This window comes from Homo sapiens, chromosome 11 (assembly GCF_000001405.40).
Source record: "Homo sapiens chromosome 11, GRCh38.p14 Primary Assembly".
Classification (NCBI taxonomy): domain Eukaryota; kingdom Metazoa; phylum Chordata; class Mammalia; order Primates; family Hominidae; genus Homo; species Homo sapiens.
In genome coordinates this window covers 118,330,914-118,355,235 of record NC_000011.10, presented here as the reverse complement: position 1 = coordinate 118,355,235, position 24,322 = coordinate 118,330,914, and the positions used below count along the sequence as shown (strand labels likewise).

The window sequence follows — 24,322 nt, the reverse complement described above, 5'->3', positions numbered from 1 at the left end:
TACACTTGTGTGTGTGTACGTGTTTACAACTGCTATTTGGCAATAGTTAATAAAATTACAAATGCAAATACAAGTGCCCAACAATTCAATTTATTTGTGTTTGTTACAAATAGTCTTATGTATGTTCAAAATCACATTTATTGTTAGAGCTAAAACCATAAAGCTGTAAAAAGTATAAAAAGAAGACAGGAGAAAATCTTTGTAACTGTGGGTTTGGTAAAGATTTATTAGACATGATACCAAAAGCACAATATATAGAAGAAAAAATCAATAAAATGTACTTCAAAATTCAAACCTTTTGCACTTCAAAAGACACCATTAAGAAAAACAAACCACAGATTGGTAGAAAATATTTCCAAATCATATATCTGATAAAGGACTTATATCAAAAACATATGCAACCCAATAGTAAGAAGACAAACAAATAAGTCAACTTAAAAATGGGCAAAAGATTTGATACACATTTCACTAAAAATATATGAATGGTTAATAAACACAAGACAGGACACTCAGCATGGTTAGTATCTAGGGAAATGCAAATTAAGGCCATAATAAAATACCATATTAAATCCATAGAATGGCTATATTAAAATACAGTTACGGGCCTGGCGCGGTGGCTCACACCTGTAATCCCAGCACTTTGGGAGGTCAAGGCGGGTGGATCGCCTGAGGTCAGGAATTGGAGACCAGCCTGGCCAACATGGTGAAACCCTGTCTCTACTAAGTACACAAATACTAGATACACAAATACTAAATACACAAAAAATGAGCTGGGCGTGGTGGCATGTGCCTGTAGTCTCAGCTACTCGGGAGGCCAAGGCAAGAGAATCGCTTGAACCCAGGAGGTGGAGGTTGCAGTGAGCTGAGATCGCGCCACTGCACTCCAGCCTGGGCCACAGAGCAAGATTCCACTTCAAAAAAAAAAAAAAAAGAAAAAAAAGAAAAGAAAAGAAAAAAAAGAAAATGTCCTAAAGCTGGATTATGGTAATGGCTGTACAATTAGTTAAATTTACTAAAAATTTCTGAGAACAGGTGAAATCACTTAAGATGGGTGGATTTTATGGCATGTACATTATGCTTCAATGCAATTATTTTTAAAAATGATATTTATACAATGTTAGTCATTGCAGAATTGTTGTAAGAGCAAAAGATTGGAACCAACTACCAACTTAAATATCCACTGATAGATAACAGGTTAAATAAATCATAGTCTATTTGTACAATATGGTTGCATTAAAAAGGATATAATGGTATCTTCATATAATGGTATGCAATAATCTCACAAGATGTATAGTTTGATATCATTTGTCTAAAAGATAGGGGAAGGGAGGATAATATGTACTTGAGAATGTGCTCATATATGCCTAGAATACCTCCAGAGAGATATATAAGAAACTGGTTTTAAGACCAGGCATGGTGGCTCACACCTGTAATCCCAGCACTTTGGGAGGCTGAGGCGGGCGGATCACTTGAGGTCAGGAGTTCGAGACCAGCTTGGCCAACAGAGCAAAACCCTGTCTCTACTAAAAATACAAAAATTAGCCAGGTGTGGTAGTGTGTGCCTGTAATCCCAGCTGCCCGGGAGGCTGAGGCAGGAGAATCGCTTGAACCCAGGAGGCAGAGGTTGCAGTGAGCCGAGATGGTGCCACTGCATTTCAGCCTGGGTGACAGAGCCAGACTGTCTCAAAAAAAAAAAAAAAAAAAAAAAAAAGAGAAACTAATTTGTCTCTGAAGAGGGCAACAGGGTCACTGGGTAGCAGGGGATGGCGGTGGAGGGAGAGCTTTCACTGAATATTTGAGCCATGTGAATTATAACCTATACAAAAACGAAATAAAAATTACAACACAAAAAATTATATTCAAATCCAGGGGGTTATTTGATCTTTTCATTTTTCTTTTACAATTTTCCCCAATAGGTGGCGCTTCTGAAACACAGTATTTGTTTTTATTTTTATTTTATTTGAGAAACCCCCAAATTTGCTCTGATGGCCTTTCTTCTCCATTTGTCATCTCTGGGAACCTTGAGTCTAGATTTAGGGCTGAAAGTCTCTCTGCTAGGAGCTTTCCAAAATGCATTGCTTTGATTCTGGGAACTGAATAGGAGGAGAACACCTGGACTGAAAAAAGAAAAATTGCAATTTGTTCAAAAAAAACAAATAATGCTTTCAACCCTGTCTTCCTGATAGAAACTTCAGATAGATTAATTAAATCATAACTTCTGACTGATTGATTTATTGATTGGAAGGTTAATATGGGTTAGTGGTTCTTAACTAAGGGTGATTTTGCCCTGGAGGTGATGTTTGGACACATTTGGTAATGTCTGGACACATTTTTGATTGTCACACTGGACAATCTACCAGCATCTGGTGGAGAGAGGCCAGGGATGCTTCCATAACTCCTACAATGCACAGGCTAGCCCCTCATCACAAATAATTAATTAGCCCAAAATGTTAATAGTGTAGATAATGAGAAATTCAAATGTAGGTTAAGATTAATATTCAGCATCTCTATGGCTTGAGGCCCTGCTCTGACAGGATTTACAGATACATAAAATTCATATTTACCTAGGCCAAGACAATCAGTATGGCCCCAGAATTTTTAGAAAAGAGTACCCCAAACCACGTCCCAATCCCTGATCCCCAGAGTCTGATGCTTATAGCCGCTTAGGGAAGGGAGCTAGACTTAGAAGCAATTGCGAGGGCAGTTGATGCAAGGGTCCTTTATTAGAATTGGCATTGAAGAACCCACCTACTCTGAGTCCTGAGTTCAATTCCTCCTCAACTGGTTTCCTTGAAGGTGGCTGTACTGGTCATCTTCTCGATCCTTGAGGGGCTGGAAAGGACAGCACAGTCATAAGTCATTTTTTCCATCCTCTATTAATTAATTTGATGCATGTTTATTGAATGTTTTTTATATGTGAGAATTTGGAGTGGGTACTTCATGGTCCTGAGGATGGAAAGAGGACAAGGAGATGGAGGCTCTGTCTTTTTTCTTTTTCTCTCTCTCTCTTTTTTTTTTTTGAGACGGAGTCTTTCTCTGTTGCCCAGGCTGGAGTGCAGTGGCACAATCGCAGCTCACTGCAACCTCGACCTCCTGGGTTCAAGTGGTCCTCCTGCCTCAGCCTCCTGAGTAGCTGGGACTACAGGCGCGCGCCTCCACGCCTGGTTAATTTTTTTTGTATTTTTAGTAGAGACAGAGTTTCATCATGTTGGCCAGGCTTGTCTCGAATTCCTGACCTCAGGTGATTCACCTGTTTTGGCTTCCCAAAGTGCTGGGATTACAGGCATGAGCCATGGCCTGTCTATAGTGAGTGCCCAGCCTGTCGAGAGTTTCTTCGTGTGTCCCTCTCAGTGTGTTCTTCAACTTGTGCTCACTAGATCCTGACCTCAGTCTCTGTCAATCCTTCTCTTTAGTTCATTTATTCTACCCAAACTGATCTCATCATCTGGTATGCTGTTAGCAGTTTCTTACCTGTATAGGATCTTCCAAATAACATGCCCCTCAATCCCAAAGATTTACCCCCACTAATTACAGCAATGTCTCTTTTATTCTTCATCCCCTTACCTGGTAGAGCTGGTCATTGGGCAACAGAGTCTGCTTGTCTGAAGCTGCACAAAAAAGAAACAGAATCCACACAAGGTAGAATGCATAATAAATTGGGTTATATTCACAAAATGGAATACTAAATAACAATAAGAGTTTTATATATACACAAGAGTATGGATAAAGCACATAAACATGTTGTTGAGTGAAAGAAGCTACTCACAAGAATACTTAGTATATGAGTCCATTTACATAAAGGACAAAAACAAGCAAAGTTAATCCTTGTTGTTAGAAGTCAGGACAATGCTCACTCTTGAGGATGGGTAGTGGCTGGAAGTGACCACAAGAGGGGCTTCAATGGCATTGGTAATATTGTCTTTCTTAAATTATGTGCTGGCTGCATGGGTGTATTTGCTCTGTGAATTTTTTTTTTGAGCTGTATGCTTGTGATTCACTTTTCTGTATGTAAGGGTTTACTTAAAATAGTTTTTTTTTTTTTTTTTTTTGAGACGGAGTCTTGCTCTGTCGCCCAGGCTGGAGTGCAGTGGCACGATCTCGGCTCACGCAAGCTCCGCCTCCCGGGTTCATGCCATTCTCCTGCCTCAGCCTCCAGAGTAGCTGGGACTACAGGCACCCGCCACCACGCCCGGCTAATTTTTTGTATTTTTAGTAAAGACGGGGTTTCACCGTGCTAGCCAGGATGGTCTCGATCTCCTGACCTCGTGATCTGCCCGCCTCGGCCTCCCAAAGTGTTGTGATTACAGGCGTGAGCCACTGCGCCTGTTTTTGTTTTTTTTTTTTTTCACAGAGGGAGCTGTATCTTGAGACAGGTGAACATGCTGTGATAACACCAAGTATCCTTTCTCCTGTCTCAGAGAAATACAGCCTCACCCAACTATGCACACTAGCAAGAAGCACCAACTCAGTCTCTTCCATTGGGTACATAATGGTAGGAGGAAAGCTGAGGGTCTCAGGTGGTCCCATCTCTCATCTAAGAGCATTCTTTTACCTCTCGACTGGCGAACTCCATCCTGTCCAGCAATGAAGTAGACCCCAACAGCAAGGACGAAAATGCTGACGATTTCAGCAAAGAGAAAGCCAGATATGGTGGCTGCATTTAGTTCAATGCAGTTCTGACACACTGTAGGGAAAAGGAGAGACAAACCTTCAGGTTGCGAAAGTTGTTTTTCCTGGTTCGTTTTCTCCTGCCTGTCTGCAATAATGCCGCTGTGGAGGGCAGCAGGCTTTTCCTCTGTGGGTGGCAGGGCAAGGGAAGATCCTTGCGCCAAAACTCAATGCATCTTGATGCTCTTAAGTCCCCCAGGATTCCTGGGGAAGCCCATGTAGTCTAACTACCAGGAAGTATCTGGAACAGAAGGAAGACTAGATACTCTTCATGCTCCACTGCGCTCCAGTTCTCACTGCTGCTCACCTTATGATCACCTCTGTCTCCCCAACCCCTTCATTCAACTCAGTGCTGAATTGCTTGAATCCATGGAGCCCACCCAAAGGTAAACAAAATTTTACAGGACTGGCTGTAGTTTTTCAATAGGGTGAGGGAAGTATCTTACAGTATTTTAAAAGAGGCAAGCTGAAATTAAGAGAACAGGCGATAATATTACTGTTGAGGATCTATTTCCACTTTCACCCCAGATAAAAAGCTCACCAGAACAGCAAATACTGATTAATTTCACAACAAACAGACCAAAGGGGATTACATACTTCTGTAATACACTTGGAGTGGTTTTGACTTGTTCTGTGATCCTTTACACTGATACATCCCTCGAGGGTCCTTGGCATTACTTCCCAGATTCCATTTTTTTTTATCTTCAGTTAGGAAGCCGATCATCTTCCCATCTTTAAACCATGTGATATTTTTGGCTTCTGCATCACAAGTCAGAAGTACCGAACCATCTTCTTGATAGTCATACACCTTAACCAAGTGGTTTCCTGAAATGAGAAAAGCCGTGGTTCTATTAAGGATCTTGCCTCTGAAATTCTCCCTGCTTCTGCATACCAGGAGATCATTAGAGTAGTGTTTCTCAAACTTTGATGTGCACATGAATCACATGGGGATCTTGTTAAAATTTCAGGTGCTATTTAGTAGTTCTGGGGAGGGGAGATTCTGCATTACTAACATGCTCTCGGGTGACGCCAATATCTGCGTCAGGGGGTGAAGAATAAAAGAGACATTGCTGTAATTAGTAGGGGTAAAACTTTGGGATTTTGGGGCATGTTATTTGGAAGATACTATACAGGTAAGAAACTGCTAACAGCATACCAGATGATGAGATCACTTTGGGTAGAATAGATGAACTAAAGAGAAGGATTGACAGAGACTAACGTCAGGATCCCAGGTGACGCCAATACCTACTGGTTCATGGGTCACAGTTTGAGATGTGTCCCTAGCTACTAGGGTCCTGCTTCTCCTGTAAGAGACCAGTTAAATGCTTAGCTACAGGCAAGCTGCCCGGAACAGGTTATGTCAGGTCACTGATTTGGTTGACAATAGAGACATCACCTCTCTATCCCCGTCATTTCATTCATTCTAAACTGTTCGCTCCTGTAGGACTACTGTTGTAGGAAGCCAAATTTCCGTCAATATTCTGAGTCTGAGTATAGAAAGAAGCCATTTCTCCTACCTTTGATTGACTGGGCCAAAGTACCTGTAAAGACAGAAGAGAGATAGAGTATTAGCTGGGCATGGAGTTGTTCAGATGCCCTGAAGTATTTCCATGGTTATTTGAGGCCAAGATGAAGAAAGATCCAAATCCATGAAAATGGTAGTATCTATACTTAGTTTTCCGGATTGTAGACTAAATCACTCAATTGAATTCAAGGTGATAATAAACAATTTGTCTCATCTTTGTCCTGGTATCCTGGGAGGGTGTTTCTAACCGTTGGAATTTCATGAGTGACAGGAGTGGCTTTGTTATCTGTGGTGGATCCTTAGACCATACCTGAGTTTATGCATGGCAATGACTCAGGATGGTGCTGGTCAAGACCAACCATATGGTAAGAGGATTGCAGCTTTGAAACTAGTGGTATCAGCCCCAGGAAGGGATCCTAGAGATTGAGATCAGTCAAGCGGCCAATGATTCAATCAATCATGCCTATGTAAAGATACCTCAATAAAAACTTGGTGGAGCTTCCTGGTTGGTGAACCCATCAATGTGCTGGCAGAGTGTGGGAGAGTGCTGGGGGCGATGTGTTCTAATTCCACGGGGAGAGGGCACGGAGGCTCTGTGTTCGGGACCCTCCTAGACCTTGCCCTTTTCATTTAGCTGGTTCTGATTTTATTTTATTTTTTAATAAAACTGAAATAGGAAGTACAGCACTTTCTTAAATTCTGTGAGTTATTCTAGCAAATTATCAATGAGGAGGGTCATGGGAATCCTTAAGATTGCAGGCAGTTTGTCAGAAATGTGAGTGGTCTGGGGTACCCTGAACTTGTAGCTGGCATTTAAAGTGAGGGCAATCTGGTTGGGAACCATGCTCTTAACCTGTAGGGTCTGACACTAATTTGGGGGGTTAGCATCAGAATTGTATTGTAGTATATGTAAGTAAGGATATTGCCTATCCAGTCCAGAACACTCTGCTTCTTGAGCAGCTAATGCCCTGGCAAGGAGTGGGTGTGCACTATCCAAAACCTTTAGGCTGAGTTCCTTATAAAATATTCAGCCTTGGTGATCCTTTTATTATAAAAACCCTGGATGTCCCAGGGAAGTTAGCTTTTCAATTAGTCCTCAAATCTGTCTCATAACTCAGAGTTGACTGGCAGCAGTGGCTCACACCTGTAATCCCAGCACTTTGGGATGCTGAGGTGGGCAGATTGCCTGAGCCCAGGAGTTAGACACCAGCCTGGACAACATGGCGAAACCCTGTCTCTACAGACAATACAAAAAAATTAGCCGGGCATGGTGGTATGCACCTGTAGTCCCAGCTACTCAGGAGGTGGGAGGAATGGTTGAGCCTGGGAGGTGGAGGTTGCAGTGAGCCAAGATTGCACCACTGCACTCCAGCCTAGGTGTTAAAGCTGTCTCAAAAAAATAAAAACAAACAAACAGACAAACAAAACCTTAGGGTAGTAGAGTTGCATGGTAGACATATTACAGAGATCTGGCACTTGAATTCAATTCAATTAGATTTAATCCAAACATTTAACGAGGACTATTATGACCTAAAATAATTAGATATTATGAAAGAAAAGAGTGCTGATATGAAGAATCAACTGCTGCTTCCAAAGTTTATGAATGAAGTGAAAAAATTAAAACATATATGCAATTAATTTAATAGAATGTATACATTATCTTTTAGTGCTTATATGACTGCATATGAAAAAAGGGTAGAAGCTATTAATTTTGTCCAAGGGTGAGGATCAGGGAAAGCTTAATAGAGGAAACGACATTTGTCTGGGCCTTGAAGAGTAAGCAAGAATATACCAGATAGAGAAAGTCATTCTGAGTAGAAAGAATAGCTGAATAAGATGCAGCTTTGGAAAAGGACAAGAGAGGTAGTGTGGCTAGAGGTGGAGTGTGTGTGATAGGGAGAGGCGGTCATGAGTCAAAGTATAATGGAAATACAAGAAGTGAACTGTCTTAGAACCTCATGCAGGGCGGGATTATTTTTGAACAGTATCCAGTGCAGTGTCTGGAACATGGTAGGAACTTTATTTGTTGAATGAATGTGCAAATGAATAAATGAGCAAATGGGAGAAAAGGCAAGACAAACAGTTAAAGAGGTTTCTAACTAGTTTTTCTCCTGACCACCTGGTCAGAAGACCGAGAGAAGACAGAGACCCCTCATTCTAAATTGGATTCAGGGAAGGAGATTGCACTGATCATTGACATAGTTTTTTTTTTTTTTTTTGAGACATCTTTTTTTTTTTTTCTTGCTCTGTCACTCAGGCTGAAGTGCAGTGGTGTGATCATGGCTCACTGCAGCCTCAAGCTCCTGGGCTCAAGCAATCCTCCCACTTCAGCCTCCCAAGTAGCTGGCATAAGTGCATGCCAACATGCCTGGCTAATTTTCGTAGTTTTTGTAGACACAGGGTATCCCTATTTTGCCCAGGTTGGTCTTGAACTCCTGGGCTCAAATGATCCTCCCTCCCTAGCCTCCCAAAGTGTTGGGATTATAGCCATGAGCCACTGTGCCTGGCTGATTGACATCTTTTAATGTTGCATATCTGAGTGAGGTTTCCTTTTAGGACTTAAGAGTTCATATAGCCACATTTCTTTTTTTTTTGTTTTGTTTTTTGAGACGGAGTCTCACTCTGTCGCCCAGGCTGGAGTGCAGTGGCACCGTGTTGGCTCACTGCAACCTCCATCTCCTGGGTTCAAGCAATTCTCCTGCCTCAGCCTCCTGAGTAGCTGGGATTACAGGCACCCACCACCACACCCCACTAATTTTTAAAATATTTTTAGTAGAGATAGAGTTTCACCATGTTGACCAGGATGGTCTCGAACTCCTGACCTCAGGTGATCCACCTGCCTCGACCTCCCAAAGTGCTGGGATTACAGGCATGAGCCACCATGCCCGTCCCTGCCACATTTCTGGATTGGCTGGCATGAGAACTCCCAGACAGTGGAGGAGTTGTTCAAGTACACATAGCTCATTGGTGTCCAAGCTGGATCCAGAGCTCAGGTTTTCTACTGCTGAACTCAAATGCTCTTTCCATGATATGCAGCCACCTCACCCAGGCTTGAGAGTTGCTCCTCAACCTGTGTTGTCTTTACCTGACTTTTCCTTGCATTTCTCTCAGAAATAATTCTATTCTAAACTCTCACTGTCCTCTTCAAGTCTCCCAACCGGTCATCACCCAGCTCAGTTTCAGCAGGTGGCATTGCCTCCCACCTGGATTTTTTAGAACACGGAAGTTGTTATTGTCCTTTCTCCTTTAGCTTCCTTTCCCTTTATAAACCTATTTGTGGCCAGTGCCGTTTGCACTTCCTTTCTCCTGGTCTTAGAGGGTAACGTTGCCTTCCTCTCTGTGCTCTTGACCCCACTCTTGACTCTGTCCTTCCACCATCAACTCCAGGACCTTGCTCTACTCATCATCTTCTCCTTTAGCCTAGAAATGTGCTCAAGTTTCTCTCACCCTCAAAAACATTTATTCTTAGACTCTACTTCCTCCTCTACCTACCACCCAGTCTTTTCTCCCTCCTCATCCAAATGTCTTTAAAGAATAGTCTACACTTGCTGACCTCATCACCTGACCTTCACCTTCTACCAATTTTCACTTGGCTTCCACTCACAATACCCTGCTGAAACTGTGCTAAATCACCCATGATGCATATTCTGCCACATCCCGCAGACTTAAACTTTTAAATATATTCTTATATTAGTGGGCTCTCTTTAACATTTTATACTCTTGGTAATTCTCTTCTTCTAGAAGCTCTCTACTCTCTTGGTTTCCAAGGTAGTGCATACATTTGATTATTTCAGCTCTTTGATTCTCCTTTTATCTCTTTCCTGGAATGTTTTTTTTTCTCTAACTGCCCCTTAAAATTGGTGCCCTCACTGTTCCATCTTCAGCTCCCTCTTCCTCACATAGTACTTGTGTGACTTCAGCAAATTCCATGGTTTTAACTTTCCCAGGATGTCCAGACTCCAGGCATCAACCCAGTTCATCCACTTCCTATTGGATAGTCCAATGGAGTATTCATGCAGGCACCCATACTATACTGTACACTCAGTCTGGCACCATGAAAACTAATCTCTCCAATGAGACTATGAGTTCTGTAGAGCATAAGTGTTTTATTCATTTTTATTTCCTCATGGCATATCACATATTAGGGTCTCACCCATCTTTGTTGACCAATTGGCCAACTGCCCAACTGAGTGAATGGACATTTCCTAGGTCGACTGCTAGCCCCCAGCTCTGAAGTAGGGAACATATACTTTTTCCTTTTAGTTTCTTGGCCTATGCCCTTTTGGGCTGCATTCAAATCTAAGATGGCGGTAACAGGGTCCTCTCTTCAGCCATTTAAGTACTCTGTTTGCATTTTTCAGAGACAAGGATTCCTTCTCCTCCATGGGACACTGTTTCTCTCTAGCAGAGAACAGTTAAGAGCCTCCATTTTGCCCTTCTTTGAACTCTAAGGTGACAGCAGAGGTAGGCTGAAGGTTAGGGATACCAATATTCCTGTCTCACTAGTGATGGGCTCTTCCCTTGAGCCCTTCCCCAGGCTTCCAGACCCCTAGTAGGCCCTTACCTTGAAGAAGAATGATAGCCAGGATGAGGACAGCCAGGCCCTTCCCCTGTTCCATGTCAGTCTCTGTCCTCCGGCAAAAGCGTGGAGCAGCCCTTAGCAGCCAGCCAGCCAGCCAGCCTGTGCAGCAGCTAGACTGGCTCCACCCATCACTGTTGGGGCTGGGGCCTTTGAGAGAAGGCAAGAACCCAGAGCCTCCACCCTCTGCTGCAAGTGTGAGCAGCAGGGGCCTCAGCAGGGCTGCAGGTGCAGATGCCTTTTGTTTTTCCGTTAAGGAGGGTGAAGGTGGTGGGGAAGAAGAGGGAGAGAGTGCTGGATTCCCACTCAGAGACTCATCTTGCACAGGGAACCGCAATGGATGCTGGGTGGGAGATGGTCCTGGGACCGTTTCTTCATGAGGGAGATAAATGTCCCTGTCATTAGTTGTTAGGATCGTAGCCAGTTGTTACTTGTTGCTAGTTGTTGTTGCTGTAGGTAATGAATTTAGGAGGGACTCTCAGATGCTTGGGGCTGGACCTCCAAATGGAAAGCCACCTCAGTCCAGGCCTTCATTCAGGAATTTTTTTCACTTTTTTTTTCTTTTTCTTTTTTGAGACAGAGTCTCACTTTGTTGCCCAGGCTGGAGTGCAGTGGCGCTATCTCAGCTCACTGCAACCTCCACCTCCGGGGTTCAAGCGATTCTCCTGCCTCAGCCTCCTGAGTAGCTGAGATTACAGGTGCGTGCCAGCAAGCCCGGCTAATTTTTGTATTTTTAGTAGAGACGGGGTTTCACCTTGTTGGTCAGGCTGGTCTCGAACTCCTGACCTTGTGATCCACCTGCCTCAGCCTCCCAAAGTGTTGGGATTACAGGCGTGAGACACGGCACCTGGTTTCACTATTCTTTTGAGATCATGAAAGAGGCGCCTGGAAGGCAATAGGTGGAACAATTCCGAGGACAGGCCAGCACATTTTCAGGGGCCAGAGCCCGGACTGAATGTCCAGGATCTCAGGCCCCTATCTCCCTCAGCCAGTCAGTCAGTGAGCCAACAAAAATGTGCAGAGCTCCCGTTATGTGCCAGGCACAAGATACAGCAGTGAGCAAGACAGGCATGACTCTGTCCCCAGGTAAGTGACAGTCTAACTGCAGCAGCGTGAAGAGTTTCAGATCCTCGTAGGCCACAGGGGAAAAAGGTCCATTTGTCTCACCGGGAGGCTCAATATTGCCTGTCAGTCAATTATATTATTATTAATAACTACCCCTTAATGAGCACATATGATGCGTGAGGCACCATGCAAATATCTTGTTTGAATCCTAATAATGGTACTAATGGAATAAGACTCTGAAAAATTTTATGGCTGGCCCAGGCCCCACAGGTAGGCAGTATTGGACCCAGGATTCAAATCTCTGGCTGGGGTCTCTAAAGCCCAACCTCCCACTGACAAGAAGCTGCTAGATCTGGTGTCCCTGGCTGCCTAGTGAAGGGTCCTGAGAAAGATCAGCCTCCATGAGAAATCTAGCTGCTACGGCTTGCGCTATGGGGCCGACGGCTTCTCTCAAGGGGCTTCGAGATGTGGCAGTGTTTAGGTTGTGTGTAAATGTGGTTGCATTGTCAATAGGGACGCTAAAGTTCAGGCCACCTTTTCCATATTCTCTGCCAGCTCCCTGCTCAGAGATAGAGCAATTTACACCGCTTCCTTCCTACCCTACCCCTAGCCCACCCCCACTCTGAAAATTTCCCACCATCAACGGCAGAAAGCAGAGAAGCAGACATCTTCTAGTTCCTCCCCCACTCTCCTCTTTCCGGTACCTGTGAGTCAGCTAGGGGAGGGCAGCTCTCACCCAGGCTGATAGTTCGGTGACCTGGCTTTATCTACTGGATGAGTTCCGCTGGGAGATGGAACATAGCACGTTTCTCTCTGGCCTGGTACTGGCTACCCTTCTCTCGCAAGGTAAGGCTACTCCAGGTGGGTGGGGGAAGGGACCTGAGAGGGACATTACTGATGGGAGTGAGGCCCACTTGAAAGTGTTTCTTGCCAGGCACGGTGGCTCACACCAGTAATCCCAGAGCTTTGGGAGGCCGAAGTGGGAGGATCCTTTGAGGCCAGGAGTTTGAGACCAGTCTGAGCAACATGATGAGACTCTATCTTTACAAAAAACAAAAGAATTAGCCAGGCATGGTGGTGCACAACTGTAGTCCCAGCTATTTGAGAGGCTGAGGCAGGAGGGTCACTTGAGCCCGGGATTTCAAGGCTTCAGTGAGCTGTGATCATGCCACTGCCCTCCAACCTAGGCAACCTGTGAGACCTTATCTCAAAAAAAAAAAAAAGTGCTTCTCGGTGCTAGCTTCAGTTCACCAGGCACCCCAGGGGTGTCAGGAGGGCAGGGGCAGGATGTAGCATAGAGTCTGGGAAACAGGCTCTTGGCTTTGACTGACTCCAGCCATGGGTGCATGTGGGCCTAGAATGTCTCTCAGAAGGCCTTAGGCCAGAGATCTGCAGAAAATAGCTCAGTACGTATGTACCTGAATCTGGGACTGGCCATGGGAGCACAGCTTCCTGCACTACTCCTTTTAGGCCTGATGGCCTCTGGAATCAGGACTCTTGTTTGTTTGGCCATGATTATGTCATCCCTGGAGGCATGTCCTAGCACTTATGTGAATGCTTTAAGAGAAGTTAACTTTAGGTTGAGCAGGACGGAGGGAAGATTTGAGGGGTTGTTACATGGTAGGATTTTAACTCATCTCAGTTTGCCAATTTCAGTTTTAAAATGGAAAGTCCCATGTCCGAGGAACCCCTTCAACACTAAGCAAACTGGGTCCAATGGTCACCTAATAGTTGGCTGCACTAGGGCACTCAGGATTTCCACTGGAGACAGATCCCTGAAGAGGACGCGACTGTAGGACGTGAAGCATTTGATGTGCATGTGTCTCCCTGAGGATACATGCATATACTTCCAACCTGCTTCAGAAGTGTGAGCAACAGCTGTTTCAGGGTTTTCTAGAAGATGCTCTTGTATCCAAATTTGGGACTTAGTGTGAAGCCCAGGATGAATGAATGTAGCCTCCACTTTTCCCTGTGTTTGGAGGCATAGACTGTAGTGCCTCTGTGGCCTGTGGAGATGTGCTCAGGCTGTCAGAGGAACTCACTGCATCTGGAATGTTGCTGCACTCACCTCCAGCCCTAAAAGTCTCCCACAAGACTTGACTTGTGAGGAGCTCTAGGGATGGATTCAATAAAATTTTTTTCCTGTTCTCCTCCTTCTAACCAAGGGTGGAAAACTGTACATGGGATTTGCCCTGGTCCCGTTCTGGACCACTTGGCTGATAATTCAGGGGCTGGTAAACCAGCTGGTCTCCACCCACAGCCATCCCTGGCCCTGGGAAAGGCTTCAGTGTTGAGAGCCCCGCTTTCTTGGTTGTCAATGGAGCAGGGGCAATGAGGAAGGATGAGGATAAGAAGCTGAAGTGGGAGTGTTGTAGATGGCTGGGAAGTGGAATTAGATGTTTCCTTGAAGAAAAAATGCAGACATTTCCAATCGAGGAATGTTCTTCTGTCTTTCCACATCTTCCAGGTGCTTCAGTGGTCCGTGCTCCCCCTACTCCTCATCAGTGGTCTGGATTCATTTCCAGGAAGGTGCTTGGGTCAATCCTGCTCTGAGGGGTCCTCTTTTGCACCAAGGCCCCAAGACCTGTCCTCTGCTTGAATGGCATCCTCATGTCCCCCTTGACCCCTGCAGTTGGTGGGGAACTTTCTGAAGGCTTTTTCTTGTGACTTCTGTCTCTCTTGATGGAAGCCATAAACTGTCCTGGACCAGGAAAATGGTCTCTGTTAAGTATGAGCTTCCGCAGAACAAAGGGCTTGGTGCAGATCAAAGAGCTGTCTCCAACTGTGATATTTTTTCCCCTTTAGTGAGCCCCTTCAAGATACCTATAGAGGAACTTGAGGACAGAGTGTTTGTGAATTGCAATACCAGCATCACATGGGTAGAGGGAACGGTGGGAACACTGCTCTCAGACATTACAAGACTGGACCTGGGAAAACGCATCCTGGACCCACGAGGAATATATAGGTGTAATGGGACAGATATATACAAGGACAAAGAATCTACCGTGCAAGTTCATTATCGAAGTACGTGCTTCCTGAACCCTTTGGGTTGGAATGGATAGGGCTTCTGGATGTGAGAACTTTCTGGCTAGAGAGGGATATGGTGAACCCATCTGTTCTCTAAACAAAGTGAGGTCACTATTGTAATGGTACAAGCCAGATTTGGGGACCTTCAAAGTGGAAGAGAGAGCTTAACTCAGCAAGACAGAGCAGTAGGGGTCATGTTACTGCAGCCTTGGTTGGGTGAGAGGTTTGGCCCACCACCTTGTTCAAGGTCCCAAAAGCTGAGATTACTTCTTGGCTCTTCCCAGGGATTCCTTAGGATGCAGGGTGGAGGAAGGTGTGGCAAGCCCATCACCAGGCCTTTCTCCCAGGGTCTTATTGAAGTTTGGGTTTTGGCATAAGAGATCTAAGGGTTGCCCTAGGAGGCAGAGGATGGTTCCCTGATCTTAAAGGCTCTCAACCTCTCCTCTCTCCTCCCTTCCCCCACAGTGTGCCAGAGCTGTGTGGAGCTGGATCCAGCCACCGTGGCTGGCATCATTGTCACTGATGTCATTGCCACTCTGCTCCTTGCTTTGGGAGTCTTCTGCTTTGCTGGACATGAGACTGGAAGGCTGTCTGGGGGTTAGTGGAAGAGCAGAGCATGAGAGTGTGTTTGTGTGTGTGTGTGTGTGTGTGTGTGTGTGTGTACCAGTGAGCTTATGCACCAGCTAAGGAATGGGGCTGGTGGTAGGTTTAGTCTCAGCTGGGAGTTACTCTTGCAATCTCCTAAAGACTCCTAGAACTTTGACTGTTGAAAGAACTTGTGTGTTCATATCACTCATGCAGACTTCTGAGGGTGTGGGAGGGTGGATCTCACAGTCCCATCTGCTAGGCCATTGATGTCTCTCTCTGGTTCTTCTAGCTGCCGACACACAAGCTCTGTTGAGGAATGACCAGGTCTATCAGGTGAGCGTTGAGGGGAAGGAGGCAGGAATGAAGGGAGGGTAAGTGGGGATAGAGAGGCTCACACTGAATGCTGTTTGCACGTGGGAAGGGTCCTACTGGGGAGTTCATTGCTGGGTGTGACTGGAGAGGTCAGGCAGGAGCTCTCATCGTCAGGGCCTGCTGGGGCCCTTCCTTGAAGAGTTCTAACCCTGCCTCCTGACCGTTTTCTCTTCTCCTCTCTTAGCCCCTCCGAGATCGAGATGATGCTCAGTACAGCCACCTTGGAGGAAACTGGGCTCGGAACAAGTGAACCTGAGACTGGTGGCTTCTAGAAGCAGCCATTACCAACTGTACCTTCCCTTCTTGCTCAGCCAATAAATATATCCTCTTTCACTCAGCAGGTGCCTGGGCTTCTTAAGGCTCCTGGGCAAGGCGTGGGAGTTGTCCTGACTTGCTTGGGATCTCGCCCTCCTACCTACCTGTTTCTTCCTTCATCTCCTTCCTTCCTCTGCCTCACACAGACAGTGTGTTGGGCAGTCTCTCGCCACATCCTGGCTGTCTGGTGTTTCTAGCCCACAGGGCTCCCTGGGTGAAGGGTCTGCGCCACCACGTTCCCACAGCTACTTGTTGACTCCAGTCCCTATCACAACCCTTTTAGGGTTTTGGCTGCCTCATCCAGCCGAGGGCAGGCTGCTGTGTTCAGGAGCCCAGCCGCACAGAAGTTTCCATGATGTCATGAATGGGAGTGGCAGAGACAACAAGGGGCCCTGGGACTAGTTTCTCACCAAGACTCAGAGGGTGTGTGTAACAAAGTCCCACTGCTGCTAAGGGGATGGCCTCAACTCTACGGCCCTGCTGACCAGGTGCCACTAGCTGTAAGGAGGTCTCACCTAAGCCCCTTTCGTATCCCTTTCCCCTGTATCAAAGGCACCATTTTAGCTTCCTTTCGCCAGGACCTGTCTCTGGCTTGCTCCTGCCTTCTGCATGATAAATGGGGATCAGAAACCCTTCACCAATTAAAGCACATTATCCCGCTCCATCTACCTGGAAAGCAGGAGTTTGAGACAGGGATTTTTTTTTTTTTTGAGATGGAGTCTTGCTCTGTTGCTCAGGCTGGAGTGCTGTGGCATGATCTTGGCTTACTGCAACCTCTGTCTCCTGGAGTCAAGTGATTCTCCTGCCTCAGCCTCCTGAGTAGCTGGGATTGCAAGCATGTGTCACCAAGTTCAGCTAATTTTTGTATTTTTAGTAGAGACAGGGTTTCATCATGTTGGCCAGGCTGGTCTCGAACTCTTGACCTCAAATGATCCACTCACTCAGCCTCCAAAAGTGCTGGGATTAGAGGCATGAGCCACTGCACCTGGCTGAGACAGGGATATTTTCAATAGATGTCATCTTCTATTACTTCTAATGGTAGTGGTTCTAGGCTGGGCACAATGGCTCATGCATGTAATCCCAGCACTTTAGGAGGCAGAGGCAAGAGGATCACTTGAGCCTAGGAGTTCAAAACCAGCCTGGGCAACATAGCAACATCCCGTCTCGACCAAAAAAAAAAACAAAATCAGCTCAGTGCAGTGGTGGGCACCTGTAGTCCTAGCTATTTGGGAGGCTGAGGTGGGAGGATTGCATGAGGCTGGGAATTGGAGGCTGCAGTGAGTTATGATTGTGCCACTGCACTCCAGCCTGGGCTACAGAGTGAGACCCTATCTTAAAAAAAAAATAGCTATGGTTCTGAAACTTTGGAGGCCTGAGGGATTTATTAAAAATATAAATGCAGCCAGGCATGGTGGCTCACACCTGTAATCCCAGCACTTTGGGAGGTTTAGGCGGGCAGATCACAAGATCAGGAGATTGAGATCATCCTGGCCAACATGGTGAAACCCCGTTTCTACTAAAAATACAAAAATTAGCTGGGCATGGTGGTGCACGCCTGTAATCCCAGCTACTCGGGAGGCTGAGGCAGGAGAATTGCTTGAACCCGGGAGGCGGAGGTTGCAGTGAGTCAAGATTGCGCCACCGCACTCCAGCCTGGTGACAGAGCGAGACTTGGTCTCAAAATAAAATAAAATAAAATAAAATAAAATAAAATAAAAGTGCTAGAGACGCACTCTAGGCAGGGTGTTTCCAGTTGATTCTGAAACAGCCCAAATTCAGAGTCTCTTGTTTAGAGGGAGAATAGAGGCCACTTTCTCTCTTATGTCTTTTATGCCTGTTCCTGGATCCCAGAGCAGGGGATTCCTTCTTTTGTTCTCTGATTACACAAATAATTTAAAGAGCCTCTGGAAAGTTTAATGACTGAGAATTTCATAGACCTGGGTTCCCAAAGGAGAAAAGAATTAGTAACCACATAGCCAGAAAATTGGATGATTCTGCCCACCATCTTCTCAAGATACATTCAGACCCTAATTTCATGAGAGACAGAACAAATGTCTAATTCACATGTTTCATTCATAGTTCTGAGTTATCCCTATCCTTTTTATCCCTACTCCTGCAGTCGTCCTAACCCAAGATCCTGCTTTCCCACTGGATTCTCTACCTTGGGCATCCCTTCCATGGCTTGTATCTAACCAAAACTTTGGATCCTTCTCGCGTTCCACACATTCATAATACCTTGTATTCCTCGGATTCATTTACATCCCTCATTCCCCAGTTCTCAACATTGGCTGCACATTGGAATCTTCTGGGACCTTTAAAAACACTGGTGCCTGGCCAGGTGCAGTGGCTTATGCCTGTAATCCCAGTACTTTAGGAGGCTGAGGTGGGTGGATCACTTGAGCTCAGGAGTTCGAGACCAGCCTGGGCAATATTGGAGAAACTCCATCTTTACAAAAATACACAAAAAAATTAGCTGGTGTGGTGATGCGCACCTGTAGTCCCAGATACTTGGGAGTTTGAGGTGGGAGGATCACCTGAGCCTGGGGAGGTCAAGGCTACAGTGGGCCATGATTTCACCACTGCACTCCAGCCTGGGCGACAGAGTGAGACCCTGTCTCAAAAAACAAAACAAACATGTACCCTAAAACTTAAAGTATAATAATAATAAAATTAAAAAAAAGTTAACAATACTTAAATGCTGATATGAAGTCAATAAATCTTATGTCACATGATAAAAAAACAAACAAAAAAACAACAAAACAAAACAAAAACAAAAAACACTCATGCTAGCTAGGTGTGCTGGTGTGCACCTGTAGTCCTAGCTACTCGGGAGGCTGAGGCCAGAGGATTGTTTGAGCCCAGGAGTTCAAGGATGGAGTAGTGATCTCCACACCTGGCAAATTTTTAAAAATTTTTTGGTAGAAACAGAGTCTTGCTTTGTTACCCAGACTGGTCTTGAGTTCCTGGGTTTGATAGATTTCACCAGTGTTGCTACCTAAGTCTGAAGTGATCCTTCCTCCTCAGCCTCCTAAAATGCTGGGATTACAGTCATGAACCATCACCCCTGGCCAGGTGAAACTTTTTTTTTTTTTGATGGAGTCTCACTCTGTTGCCCAGGCTGAAGTGCAGTGGCCTGATCTGGGATCACTGCAAACTCTGCCTCCCAGGTTCAAGTGATTCTCCTGCCTCAGCATCCTGAGTAGCTGGGATTACAGGTGCCCACCACCATACCTGGCTAATTTTTGTATTTTTAGTAGAGACAGGGTTCCACCACATTGGCCATGCTGGTCTTAAACCCCTGACTTCAGGTGATCTGCCAGCCTTGGCCTCCCAAACTGCTGGGATTACAGGCGTGAGCCACCATGCCTGGCCCAAAACTTTTAAAGGAAGTTGTTTTAGCTACTCTAAGTCCTTTGCACTTCCATTTGAATTGGCTCCTCAGTTACTACAAAAATGCCTGCTGGGATTTTGATCAAGATTGTATTGCATTTATAGATCAATTTGGGGAGAATTAACATCTTAACACTATTGAGTCTTTTCATACATGAACATATATTTTACCAGATTTATTCCGAAATATTTTATATTTTTGATGCTATTGTATGTGCTTTGTTTTTTTTTTTTGGTTTTTTAGAGGCAAGGTCTTGCTGTGTCACTCAGGCTGAAGTACAGTGGCATGATTATAGCTCACTGCAGCCTCGAACTTCTGGGCTTAAGTGATCCTCCCACCTCAGCTTCTCAAGTAGCTCTGGCACTACAGACATGTGCCACTATGCCTGAATATTTTTATTTTTGTGTAGACACGGGATCTCACTATGTTGCCTAGGCTGGTCTTGGACTCCTGTACTGAAGCGATCCTCCCACCTTGACCTCCCAAAGTGCTGGGACTATAGGTGTGAGCCACTGTACCAGGCTATATATGGTATTAAAATTTTTTAAATTTCCAATTGTTTATTACTAGTATATAAAAATACAATTAATTTTTGAATATTAATCAAAACAAAAAGCAAAACTGCTACACTCACTTATTAATTCTAGTAACTTTTTGTAAGACCGTTGAGTATTCTACATAGACAATCATGTTGTCTGTGAACAAAAACAGTTTGTTTTCTTTCCTATCTGGGTGCTTTTTGTTTCTGTTTCTTGGCTTATTGCACTGGCTAGAACCTCCAGTACAATGTTGAATAGAAGTGGAGAGAGGACATCCTTGTCTTGTTCATGATCTTAGGAGGAAAGCATTGTCTTTCATCTTTAAGTACATTAGCTGTGGGTTTTTCTTAGATGTCCTTTAACAGATTGAGCTAGTTCTTTTCTTTCTAGTTTGCTGAGAATTTTTATCAAAAATAGATGTTGGGTCTCGTCAAGTGCTTACCCTGCATCCATTGAGATGATAATATGGTTTTACTTTTTTAGTCTGTTAATATGGTACATTACATTGATGGCACGATATGTTAAACCAACCTTTCATTCCTGAAAAAAACTCTAGTCATTTGGTATTATTCTTTTGATATGTTATTAGATTAAATTTATTAAAATTTTGTTAAGAATTTTTGCCTCTAAGTCATGAGAGGATTTGTCTATAGTTTTCTTTTCTTGTAATGTCTTTGTTTTTGGTATCAGTATATTAGGGTTCTCCAGAGAGAGAGAACCAATGTGATATATATATGTGTGTGTGTGTGTGTGTGTGTGTGTGTGTGTATGTGTGTGTGTGTGTTTGTGTGCGTGTATCCCACTTTGCTATTGTGAATAGTAATCTTTATTATTTCTTTGTCTACTTTAATTTTATATATATATATATATATATACACACACACACACACATATATATATATATATATCTCCCATTGGTTCAGTTTGTCTGTTTCTCTGAATCCATGGGTTCTGCATTTGTGGATTTAACCAACTGAAGATCAAAAATATTTGGAAAAAAAAAAGGATGACTGCACTTGTACTGAACAGATACAGAATTTTTCTTGTCATTATCCCCTAAACAATATAGTACAATAACTATTTATATGGCATTTATGTTGTATTAGGTATTACAAGTAATCTAGAGATGGTTTAAAGTATATAGGAGGATGTGTGCAGGTTACATGCAAATATTACATCATTTTATATAAGGGACTTGAGCATCCATGGCTTTTGGTAGCCATGGGGAGGTCTTGGAACTAATCCCCCACCGAGGGATGGGACAACTGTGTATGTACCCTATTGGTTCTGTTTCTCTAGAGAAGTTGGCTCATGTAGCTGACATGTCTAAAATCTGCAGGGTATTTTGGCAGGTTGGAGACCAAGGGAGTTGCTGTTGCAACTGTCCATAGACAATCTAGAGACAGATTTTCCTCTTCCTCACAGGACCTCAGTCTGTTTTCTCTTAAAGCTTTCAAGTGATTGGATGAGGTCCACTCACGTTATGGAGAATAATCTACCTTACTTAAAGTCTACTAATTTAAATGTTAATCTCATCTATAAAAATACTTTCACAACAACATACTGATGTATTAGGCCAAATATCTGGGCCTAGCTAAGTTGGCACATAAAATTAACCAGGGTAATCAACACAGGGTAAATCTGGTCTCCACAGAACAAGTTGGAAGAATTCCTTCTTCAATTTTCTTGAAGTGTTTGTGTAGAATTGGTATTATTTCTTCTTTAAATGTCTGGTAGATTTCACCAGTGATGCTACCTAGGTCTGAATTTTTTTTTAAACTACAAATTCAATTTATTTAATAGATAAAGGGCTATTTGGGCTATCTATTTCATCATCAGTGGGCTTTTTCAAGGACTGTGTCCATTTTACCCGAGTTGTGAAATTTATTGGCACGATTGTTCATAACTGTTATGGGCTGAATGTTTGTGTTCCCCCGAAATTCCTGTGTTGAATTCCTAACCTTGAATGTGATGGTATTAGAAGGTGGGGACTTTGGGAGAAGGTGGGGTGTGGTGGCTCACGCCTGTAACCCCAGCACTTTGGGAGGCCGAGGTGGGCAGATCACTTGAGGTCAGGAATTTGAGACTATCCTGGGCAACAGGGTGAAACCCCATCTCTACTAAAAATACAAAAATTAGCTGAGTGTGGTGGTGTGCACTTGTAATCCCAGCTATTCAGGATGCTGAGACAGGAGAATCTCTTGAACTCAGGAGGCAGGGATTGTAGTGAGCCGAGATCGTACCACTGCACTCCAGCCTGGGTGACAGAGAGAGTCTCAAAAAAAAAAAAAAAAAAAGACTTGCGCCCAGGAGTTAGAAGCTGCAGTGAGCTATGATCAAGTCACTGCACTTCAACACAGGCAACAGAGCAAGACCTTGTCTTAAAAACAAACAAACACCCCTCCCCCTCTCCCTCTCCCTCTCCCTCTCCCCACGGTCTCCCTCTCTTTCCACGGTCTCCCTCTCATGCGGAGCCGAAGCTGGACTGTACTGCTGCCATCTCGGCTCACTGCAACCTCCCTGCCTGATTCTCCTGCCTCAGCCTGCGGAGTGCCTGCAATTGCAGGCGTGCGCCGCCACGCCTGACTGGTTTTCGTATTTTTTTGGTGGAGACGGGGTTTCGCTGTGTTGGCCAGGCCAGTCTCCAGCCCCTAACCACAAGTGATCCGCCAGCCTCGGCCTCCTGAGGTGCCGGGATTGCAGACGGAGTCTCGTTCACTCAGTGCTCAATGGTGCCCAGGCTGGAGTGCAGTGGCGTGATCTCGGCTCGCTACAACCTCCACCTCCCAGCCGTCTGCCTTGGCCTCCCAAAGTGCCGAGATTGCAGCCTCTGCCCGGCCGCCACCCCGTCTGGGAAGTGAGGAGTGTCTCTGCCTGGCCGCCCATCGTCTGGGATGTGAGGAGCCCCTCTGCCTGGCTGCCCAGTCTGGAAAGTGAGGAGCATCTCTGCCCGGCCGCCATCCCATCTAGGAAGTGAGGAGCGCCTCTTCCCAGCCGCCATCACATCTAGGAAGTGAGGAGCGTCTCTGCCCGGCCGCCCATCGTCTGAGATGTGGGGAGCACCTCTGCCCGGCCACGACCCCGTCTGGGAGGTGAGGAGCGTCTCTGCCCGGCCGCCCCATCTGAGAAGTGAGGAGACCCTCTGCCTGGCAACCACCCCGTCTGAGAAGTGAGGAGCCCCTCCGCCTGGCAGCTGCCCCGTCTGAGAAGTGAGGAGCCTCTCCGCCCGGCAGCCACCCCAGCTGGGAAGTGAGGAGCGTCTCCGCCCAGCAGCCACCCCGTCCGGGAGGGAGGTGGGGGGGGTCAGCCCCCCACCCGGCCAGCCGCCCCATCCGGGAGGGAGGTGGGGGGTCAGCCCCCCGCCCGGCCAGCCGCCCCGTCCGGGAGGGAGGTGGGAGGGTCAGCCCCCCGCCCGGCCAGCCGCGCCGTCCGGGAGGGAGGTGGGGGGGTCAGCCCCCGCCCGGCCAGCCGCCCCGTCCGGGAGGTGAGGGGCGCCTCTGCCCGGCCGCCCCTACTGGGAAGTGAGGAGCCCCTCTGCCCGGCCAGCCGCCCTGTCCGGGAGGGAGGTGGGGGGGTCAGCCCCCGCCCGGCCAGCCGCCCCGTCCGGGAGGGAGGTGGGGGGGTCAGCCCTCCGCCCGGCCAGCCGCCCCGTCCGGGAGGTGAGGGGCGCCTCTGCCCGGCCGCCCTTACTGGGAAGTGAGGAGCCCCTCTGCCCGGCCAGCCGCCCTGTCCGGGAGGGAGGTGGGGGGGTCAGCCCCCCGCCTGGCCAGCTGCCCCATCCGGGAGGGAGGTGGGGGGGTCAGCCCCCCGCCCGGCCAGCCGCCCCATCTGGGAGGGAGGTGGGGGGGTCAGCCCCCCTCCTGGCCAGCCGCCCCGTCTGGGAGGTGAGGGAAGCCTCTGCCCGGCCGCCCCTACTGGGAAGTGAGGAGCCCCTCTGCCCGGCCAGCCGCCCTGTCCGGGAGGGAGGTGGGGGGGTCAGCCCCCCGCCCGGCCAGCCGCCCCGTCCGGGAGGGAGGTGGGGGGGTCAGCCCTCCGCCCGGCCAGCCGCCCCGTCCGGGAGGTGAGGGGCGCCTCTGCCCGGCCGCCCCTACTGGGAAGTGAGGAGCCCCTCTGCCCGGCCAGCCGCCCCGTCCGGGAGGGAGGTGGGGGGGTCAGCCCCCCGCCCGGCCAGCCGCCCTGTCCGGGAGGGAGGTGGGGGGGTCAGCCCCCCACCCGGCCAGCCGCCCCGTCGGGGAGGGAGGTGGGGGGTCAGC

At 46.6% G+C, this 24,322-nt stretch overlaps 2 protein-coding genes across 5 annotated transcripts, besides 2 other annotated features; one reads left to right on the top strand and one right to left on the bottom strand.

The window, feature by feature from the left end:
• Nucleotides 75–10,892, bottom strand: CD3G (CD3 gamma subunit of T-cell receptor complex). Of its 3 annotated transcripts, none has more exons than NM_000073.3 (7): nt 10,758–10,892; nt 6,186–6,209; nt 5,266–5,493; nt 4,553–4,684; nt 3,565–3,608; nt 2,749–2,832; nt 75–2,117 (listed from the first exon to the last, which is right to left on the bottom strand). In NM_000073.3, the coding sequence occupies exons 1-6, from the start codon at nt 10,810–10,812 to the stop codon at nt 2,767–2,769; spliced, it is 549 nt and encodes a 182-aa protein (NP_000064.1). In that variant the 5' UTR covers nt 10,813–10,892; the 3' UTR covers nt 75–2,117; nt 2,749–2,766. The 3 variants fall into 3 exon arrangements, with proteins under 3 accessions (NP_000064.1, NP_001427248.1, XP_005271781.1); NM_001440319.1 differs by having other exon boundaries at nt 75–2,112; XM_005271724.5 differs by lacking the exons at nt 75–2,117; nt 2,749–2,832; nt 3,565–3,608 and having other exon boundaries at nt 3,617–4,684.
• Nucleotides 4,540–5,739: an enhancer, noted in NCBI's record as "BRD4-independent group 4 enhancer chr11:118220212-118221411 (GRCh37/hg19 assembly coordinates)". NCBI's record gives its function as "activates an origin of replication core promoter dependent on BRD2, P300/CBP, MED14 and CDK7 cofactors, and independent of BRD4, by STARR-seq in HCT116 cells {active_cell/tissue: HCT116}" and the evidence as "EXISTENCE:reporter gene assay evidence [ECO:0000049][PMID:35650434]".
• CD3D (CD3 delta subunit of T-cell receptor complex) lies at nt 12,531–16,282 on the top strand. 2 transcript variants are annotated; one of them, NM_000732.6, is made up of 5 exons: nt 12,531–12,683; nt 14,643–14,861; nt 15,330–15,461; nt 15,742–15,785; nt 16,009–16,161. In NM_000732.6, exons 1-5 carry the CDS (start codon nt 12,629–12,631, stop codon nt 16,072–16,074), a joined length of 516 nt encoding a protein of 171 aa, NP_000723.1. In that variant the 5' UTR covers nt 12,531–12,628; the 3' UTR covers nt 16,075–16,161. The 2 variants fall into 2 exon arrangements, with proteins under 2 accessions (NP_000723.1, NP_001035741.1); NM_001040651.2 differs by lacking the exon at nt 15,330–15,461 and having other exon boundaries at nt 16,009–16,282.
• Nucleotides 16,467–16,616: an enhancer, noted in NCBI's record as "active region_5589". NCBI's record gives its function as "activates an Ori minimal core promoter by ATAC-STARR-seq in GM12878 lymphoblastoid cells {active_cell/tissue: GM12878}" and the evidence as "EXISTENCE:reporter gene assay evidence [ECO:0000049][PMID:35858748]".